Genomic DNA, 8,980 nt, shown 5'->3' with positions numbered 1-8,980 from the left:
TTCGGCATATGCTGATTTTCACACTTAATGGAACCAAAAGTTAGTGAGGCCGGGCATGGTGGCTCCCGCCTGTAATCCCAGACCTTTGGGAGGCTGAGGCAGGTGGATCACCTGAGGTCAGGAGTTCAAGACCAGCCTGGCCAACATGGCAAAACTGCTGTCTCTACTAAAAATACAGCAATTAGCTGGGTGTGGTGGTGTACACCTGTAGTCCCAGCTACTCAGGAGGCTGAGGCAGGAGGATCACTTGAACCCGGGAAGTGGAGGTTGCAGTGAGACGAGATGGTGCCATTGCACTTCAGCCTGGGTGACAGAGGACAGAGCGAAACTCTGTCTCAAAAAAAAAAAAAAAGTTAGTGGGCAGGTGTGGATCTTGCTCTTTTAAGAAAAAAGCACAGCTTTTCCTTCCCCATGAGGCCCTTCCCACAGGCCTTTACTTCTGAACAACTGCATAGCCACAGAGGAAGTTCAGAGCCGAGGGCAGCTGGCTAGGGGCAGTAAAGAGATAGCAGCGGGAAGGGCCCTCACCAGAGAGGCAGACATGGGTTCCTTCTTCTTCCCCTTTTTAAAAATTGTGGTAAAAAATGAACAAACAAAAAACACCTAACATGAAATCTGCCCTCTTAACAAACTCTTAGGTGTGTGGTAAAATATGATTAATTATATGCACATTGTTGTACAGCAGAGTTCTAGAACTTTCTCACCTTGCATGACTAAATCATGCCCATTGAGTAGCAACTCTCCCTCCCACTCCTCCACCAGCCCCCGGCTGCCACTATTTTACTTTTTGCTTCTATGAGTGTGACTAGTTTAGTTACCTCATGTAACCAGAACCATGCAGCCTTTAACCTGTGACTGTCTTATTTTAGTTAGCATAATGTCCTCAAGATGCATCCATGTTGTTGAATACGGCAGGATTTCCTTCTTTGTTAAGGCTGAATAAAATTATATTCCATTGTAAGATAAAGAATACGTGGCACATATACATAATGGAATACTGTTTAGATGTAAGAAAGAACAAAATTCGACTGGGCGCGGTGGCTCACGCCTGTAATCCCAGCACTTTGGGAGGCCGAGGCAGGCGGATCACGAGATCAAGAGATCAAGACCATCCTGGCCAACATGGTGAAACCCTGTCTCTACTAAAAATGCAAAAATTAGCTGGGCCTGTTAGTGTGTGCCTGTAGTCCCAGCTACTCAGGAGGCTGAGGCAGGAGAATCGCTTGAACCCAGGAGGTGGAGGTTGCAGTGAGCCAAGATCCTGCCACTGCACTTCAGCCTGGCGACAGAGCAAGACACCGTTTAAAAAAAAAAAAAAGAACAAAATTCTATCATTTGTGGCAACATGGATGAGCTTGGAGGACGTTATGTGAATGAAATAAGTCAGGCCCAGAAAGAGAAATACTGCATGTTCTCAAGTTGATCTCAAGACATAGAGAATAGAACAGTGGTTATTAGAGGTGGGGCAGTGTGTTGGGGGTTAGGGGATAGCCAGAGATTTGTTAACAGATACAAAAGTACAGCTGCATAGGCAGAATAAATCCTCGTGTGCTATAGCACTAGGGGATGTCTATAATTGTCAACAACTTATTGTATATTTTCAAATAGCTAGAAGAGTAGATTTTGAATGTTTCCAACACAAAAGTGAGGTGATGGATATGCTGATTACCCTTATTTGATCATTACACATTATATACATGTATCAAAATATCACAATGTGCCCCATAAATGTCTGATTATGTGTCAATTAAAAATAGTAATAATTTTTAAAAGAAAATAAATAGAAGAAAAAACTGTGTTCTCAGCCTACTTTCAAGCACACTATAAAATATTTTGTTCTCATCCCCCACTAAAATATTATTCCATTGTGTATTAGCCTGTTTTCACACTGCCGATAAACACATACCCAAGACTGGGCAATTTACAAAAGAAAGAGGTTTATTGGACTTACAGTTCCACATGGCTGGGGAGGCCTTACAATCATGGTGGAAGGCAAGGAGGAGCAAGTCACATCTTACATGGATGGCAGCAGGCAAAGAGAGAGAGCTTCTGCAGGGAGACTCCCGTTTATAAAACCATCAGATCTCATGAGACCCATTCACTACCACCAGAACAGCACGGGGAAGCCCTGCCCTCATGATTCAGTCATCTCCCACCAGGTCCCTCCTACAACATGTGGGAATTATGGGAGCTACACGATGAGATTTGGGTGGGGACACAGAGCCAAACCGCATCACATTGTATGTACATATCACACTTTCTTTATCCATTCATCCATTGATGGACGTTTAGGCTGTTTCCATCTCTTGGTTATTGTGAATAATGCTGCTTCCAATGAACATAGGCATGCAGATAGCACTTTGCAATCCTGTTTTCAGTTTTTCTGGATAAATACCCAGAAGTGGGACTTCTGGATCATATGATAGTTCTATTTTTAATTTTTTGAGTAACCTCAATACTATTTCCCATAATAGCAGCTACACCATTTTACCTCCCCACCAATAGTGCACAAGGGTTCTAGTGTCTCCACATTCTCACCAGCATTTGTTGTTTTCTGTTGTTTTATACATGTTGTTTCTATACATATATATATACACATTCTCACCAGCATTTGTTGTTTCTGTTGTTTTATACATGTTTTTATACACACATATATACACACACACAATGGCTATTCTAACAGGTGTGAAGTGATATCCCATTGTGGTTTTGATTTGCATTTTCCTGATAATGAGTGGTGTTGAGCATCTTTTCATGTATTTATTGGCTATTTGTAGATTTCTTCTGGAGAAATGTCAAGTCCTTTGCCCATTTAATCGGGCCTTTTTTTTTTTTATTGTTTTAGGAGTTCTGTCTATATTTGGGATATAATTCCTTATCAGATATGTAATTTGCAAATATTTTATCCCATTGTGTGAGTTGCCTTTTTACTCTGTTGATATTGTCATTTGGTGCACAAATTTTGAAATTTTAGCCAGACATGGTGGTTTGCACCTGTAATCCTGGCTACTCAGGAGGCAGAGGTGAGAGGATCACTTGGACTCAGGAGTTTGAGGCTGTGGTGCGCCATGATCATGCCAGTAAATAGCCACTGCATTTCAGCCTGGGCAGCATAGCAAAACCCCCATCTCTTAAAAAAAAAAAGATATGAGTCAAAAACACATAATTTAAATTTTCATGAAGTTCCATTTGTCTGTGTTGTTGTTGTTGTTGCCTGTCCCCTCAGCATCATGTCTATGAAATCACTGGCAAATCCAATGCTGTGAAACTTTTGCCTTGTGTTTTCTTCTAAGAGTTTTATGGTTTTAGATCCTACATTTAGGTCTTTGATCCATTTGAGTTAATTTTTGTCTATGTTATTAGGGAAGGCTCCAGTGTCATTCTTTTGCATATGAATTTCCAGTTTTTCAATTATTACTATTTTTTTAAAAAATCATTTCCCTTACTCGCAAGTAGGTAGTTTCTAGTCCAAGATTTTATCTGGGAGGTAGTGCCTTTGAGTATTCTGATCGTTAAGTGGAGTCTCAGACACAGCGCCCATTTTGGGTGGTCTAAGCCTATTGCTCCCCCAAGCCCTGCAGTTCATCCCCTAAATACTAGCCTCTCTGTAAGGTCAGCCACTGATCATGGCAGCCACTGCTTCCTCTCTTGTTTCACTGTTAATTGCTGATTTGGGGCTTTTGGTTTGTTTGTTTGGCCTTGGTGGTGTCCTTGGAATTGGTTGATACAAGTTCCTTCTTGCTCTGTGGTCATGGCCTCAGAACTGTCTTCATCCTAAGGCAGCAGAGAGAGATCTCTGAAGTAGGCAGCAGAGAGAGATCAGCCCAGACACCAGACACAAGGACTTCTGAGGAAGAAAACCAGACCACTGATCCCAGAAGTTTCCCAGAGTCCCCACCCCCATCACATCCCCTCAATGTCTCATTGGCTGCTTCAGACTCTGGTGACCACCCCTAGCTTAATTACTGACAAGGTGATTGGGACCAGCTTCCAGCTGGGACTATCCTCCCCTGATTCACATTTGGAAGGGTGGATGGCCAGACCTGGTGATGGCTCCATCCTGGAGTGGAGTTGGGTAGGAGGAGACAAAAACGCCTGTTGCAGAAGTCTTGCTGGACCCCGCTCCATTCTGAGCCTCCTCCTGGGTCTTTCTAGACCACTGTGCCTCCATCTTTGTGAACACAACAAGCTCCTGCCCTCACACCCTCTCCTGAGGCAGGTTGGAGGGGTCTCTGTGGGCTGCAGCATCAGGAACTTGACCCTTTCTCCCCCTCCTCAGCTTCTCAGCTCCATCTCCTCCAGGGCCATGGCAACTTTCTTTCTGCAAACAGAAGCCTCCGCGAGGACACAGGCTCCTCACAGCTGAAGTCCTGTGCAAGCCAGCATCCCCCACCATCATCCTTTTGTCTCAGTACTAACCCAGGCAACTGTACCACTGGCCAAAAAAAAAAAAAGTACTTTGATGGTTAATACTGAATGTCAACTTGATCAGATTGAAGGATGCAAAGTATTGTTCCTGGGTGTGTCTGTGAGGGTATTGTCAAAGGAGATTAACGTTTGAGTCAGTGGAATGGGAAAGGCAGACCCACCCTCAATCCGGGTGGGCACCATCCAATCAGCTGCCAGTGTGGCCAGAATAAAAGTAGGCAGAAGAACATGAAAGACTAGATTGGCTAAGTCTTCCAGCCTCCACCTTTCTCCCATGGTAAATGCTTCCTGCCCTTGAACATCGGACTCCAAGTTCTTCAGCTTCTGGACTCTTGGACTTACACCAGTGATTTGCCAGGGGCTCTTGGGCTTTCAGCTACAGACTGAAGGTTGCTCTGTCAGCTTCCGTACCTTTGAGGTTTTGGTACTTGGACTGGCTTCCTGGCTCCTCAGCTTGCAAACAGCCTATTGTGGGACTTTACCTTGTGATTGTGTGAGTTCATTTTCCTAATAAACTCCCCTTCATATATATATATATATCTCCTATTAGTTCTGTCCCTCTAGAGAACCCTGAGTAATACAAGTACTAAACTTTATTTAGCTGCCAATTTCTGTTCTAAATCTATGTTTGTCAGGGAACAACTGGTCTGCAAATGCTAATGGCTTTACCTTGGCTCTCCTTCCTTACTTACTCACAAGCAGGTAGTTTCTGGTCCACCATTTTACCTGGGAGATAACGCCTTTGAGTATTCTGGCCGTAAGTGGAGTCTCAGACACAGCTCCCCACTTTGGGTGGCCTCAAGAACACACCCACGGAGGGAGTGTTCTAACCTCAGGGCATCCTTGGGGGCATCAATCAAGGAGAGATGGGGCCACAGGCCTGAGAGCAGGAAGCTGCAGAATTCTCCAAGGCACTGCTCAGGGTCCCCAGTCCAGAGGTCTCCTGTGTGTGGATATAGAATCTAGTGTGACCCTTTGACAGAGACGCCTCGTTGAGCCTTTGTGTCAGAGACACCACTTTTCATCCATTAATGATCGGCCATTTATCATGATGCAAGAGGAGAAAGAGAAAACAGGGGGTTCCAGCAAGGCCAGAGCAGCCAGAGATGGTGAACGATGTCACCCAACATCTGGCTCCCAAGTTTATGGAGGAAGAAGGGGATGTTTTGTGTCTTCTGGGGTTTCCTTTGGTAATGTGTCCCTGTGGTGGCCCTTGGTGTGCTATGATGAGCCACCTGCAGCAGTCAGCACTAGGAAGCCCCAGTAGAGATTGTGTTACCAGCGTGGCAGAGAACTCACAGCCTCTCCCCTGCTTGGTGAACAGGTGCTCCCCCTGGAATCATATGACATCAATCACCCATCACATGATCACCCATGATGTGACATCACCCATCACATGATTGCCCATCACGTGATGTCGCCCATCACGTGATATTGCCCATCACATGACATCACCCATCATATGATCGCCCATCACGTGATGTCGCCCATCATGTGATATCACCCATCACGTGACATCACCCATCACATGATCACCCATCACATGACATCACCTATCACATGACCACCCCCGCATGACATCACCCATTACATGATATCACCCATCACATGACCACCCATCACATGACATCACCTGTCACATGATCACCATCACATCACCCATCACATGATTGCCCATCACATCACCCATCACATGACATCACCCATCACATGACCACCCATTACATGACAGCACCCATCACATGATCACCCATCACATGACATCCCTGTCACATGACATCACTCATCACATGATCACCTATCACATGACATCACCCATCACATGACATCACTCATCACATGATCACCCATCACATGACATCACCTGTCACATGACCACATGTCACATGGCATCACCCATCACATGACATCACCCATCACATGATCACCTGTCACATGATCACCTGTCACATGACATCACCCATGATATGACATCACCCATCACATGATCACTTGTCACATGATCACCCATCACATGACATCACCCATCACATGACATCACCCATCACATGATCGTCGATCACATGACATCACCTATCACATGACCACCCCCACATGACATCACCCATTACATATCACCCATCACATGACCACCCATCACATGACATCACCTGTCACATGATCACCCATCACATGACATCGCCCATCCCATCACCCATCACATGACATCACCCATCACATGACCACTCATCACAGGATCACCTTGTCACATGACCACCTGTCACATGGCATCACCCATCACATGACATAACCCATCACATGGCATCACCCATCACATGACATCACCCATCACATGACATCATGCATCACATGACATCACCCATCACATGACATCACACATCACATGACATCACCCATCACATGACATCACCCATCACATGACATCACCCATCACATGACATCAATGTCCCATAGATAAGCAGAACACTAAATTGATTCTGTAGAGTGAATATGGGATGGAAAAATCCAACTCTAATCATACCCTACTCACCAAGCAGGAAAGACATGCATAAGCTTCACCTGAAAGTCTTATTTTAGGGCATTGTTGTGTAATCCCAGCATTTTGGGAGGCTGAGGCAGGATGTTTGCTTGAGCCCAGGAATTTGAGACCAGCCTGTACTGGCAAGACCCCCCATCTCTATAAAACATTTAAAATAATAAATAAATAAATAAATAAATAAATAAATAAAAACAAAGGCTGTGATTCCAGGAGCAGAATATTTGGTAATGGAACATAAAGAAAGACAAAGGCCAGGCAGGCCATTCGAGGCATCAGTTCAAGTCCATGCCCATGAGCTGCCTCCTGCCTGCTCAGGCAACCTCCCAGGCAGCTGAAATCAGAAAAACAGATGAGGGTCACAAGCATTCAGCTTCCTGGAAAGGAGTGTCCCCAAAATAAATCACTTGAGTTATTGTAGGGTCTCAGTCTCTCTTCTTGTCTGGATGGTGGTCGGGTTCTAGATTTGCAGGAATGAGGACCAGACCCAGGTAAATTCACCAAAGTCGTATCCCAAGAGGAGATCTCCCAACCATGGCCTTTGCATCGTTTAACTCATCAACCTCAGAAGCACTGGGGGGATTGACCCAACCACATGAAACCAGGTTTCCATGGCCCATTTTAGAAGGTAGAATCATCCCCAGGGGCACAGGTAACATATGTCCATCTGCTGGGCCCCAAGCCCAGCACATTCTCCTTAACTCCCACCTCAATGTCACCACTTCATGTCCTCATTAAATCCCACAAGAGGGAGGTCAGAAAGAAGTTCTGAACTTTTTCTGACCTCCCTGCAGTGGGATGAATTTGAGACTCAACACAGGCAGTCGGGGGAGGGAAGAGGAACTTATATCATGAGTTGATAACAGCACTGCGTGACTTGTGCACTCGCCGCATTTTAAAGGCTGGCAGTACCCCATTTTCACAATGTCCATCTCATCTGTCCTCCCTGACAGCTCAGGGTGGTAGGCCAGGCTATTCTTGAGTCCACACTGGACAAGGCTGTAAATAGACTTGAGTCACCTTATTTGAGCTGAGTTCCTTTACCCGTGAAGTACCCTTTGAGTCATCCTTCGGGTACACCCCCTCACCAACCTAAACCTTAGTTTTTATAGCTGCAAGACGGATGGTGCATGACCTCTTCTTCCCCTTTCAGCCCCAACTTTCCATGACTCTGAGTCAGTTTCCATGACTCCCAGTTCAGGCCATTCTAGTCACCAACCAGGCTGGGCTGCCTCAGCCAGCACAAAATTTGAAGCTGGGGGGACTTGCTGCTTCAAAATATCTATAGAGAGTGGCTTTTTCTAAAGTCAACCTCTAAATCTCTGTCCCCAGGAGGAAGGATGTTCGCATTGACAAAGGGTGGAGGCAAGTATTGGGCCCAGTACTAGGGCCCCAGTGATAGGTCCACATTTGAGATAACAGGGAGGCCGGAAGCTCTGCCCTTAGCACACCTTCCTTGCCAGGTGGAAGCTCCCAATGTAGGCTTTGGAGGTCTGTTCCCTCAGGCACGTGGACTCAGGCTGTGCTTCATGCATTGGTCTGGAGCCTTGGAGCAGGCCTGGAAGAGGCTGTATCTCAGATTTGTGTTCTTCAGGATGTTTCTTACCCAGCATTTTGGACACTGAGCATCTGATTGTGAGGATGGAGTCCACACACTGAATGCGTGTGATTCTCTGGTGAGCAGTGTAACTTGAACTCCAGTGGAAGACTGCCAGGCCATGGAGGTGTTGGCAGCAGCCTGGGACTTCAGCTGAAATGTGACTCAGGCCACAGGGCCAGTCAGACAATTCAGGAAAACATGTCCTCAGCAAACAACCAAATAAGGCACCAGGGACCAATCCTGGAGAAACAGGGACCTTTCAGACAGAGAATTCAAAATAGCTGTTTTGAGGAAGCTCAGTGAAATCCAAGATAACTCAGAGAAGGAATTCAGAATCCTATCACATAAATTTAATGAAGAGATCAAAATAATAAAAAAGAATTAAGCAGAAATTCCAGAGCTGAAAAATGAAATAG

General features: G+C 45.5%; 1 annotated feature.

Moving 5' to 3' along the window:
- Nucleotides 8,125-8,374: an enhancer, noted in NCBI's record as "active region_12710". NCBI's record gives its function as "activates an Ori minimal core promoter by ATAC-STARR-seq in GM12878 lymphoblastoid cells {active_cell/tissue: GM12878}" and the evidence as "EXISTENCE:reporter gene assay evidence [ECO:0000049][PMID:35858748]".

Source organism: Homo sapiens, chromosome 17, assembly GCF_000001405.40.
Source record: "Homo sapiens chromosome 17, GRCh38.p14 Primary Assembly".
NCBI classification, from domain to species: Eukaryota; Metazoa; Chordata; class Mammalia; order Primates; family Hominidae; genus Homo; species Homo sapiens.
The sequence above is the reverse complement of the archived record's forward strand: the minus strand, read 5'-3'. Positions and strand labels throughout refer to the sequence as shown.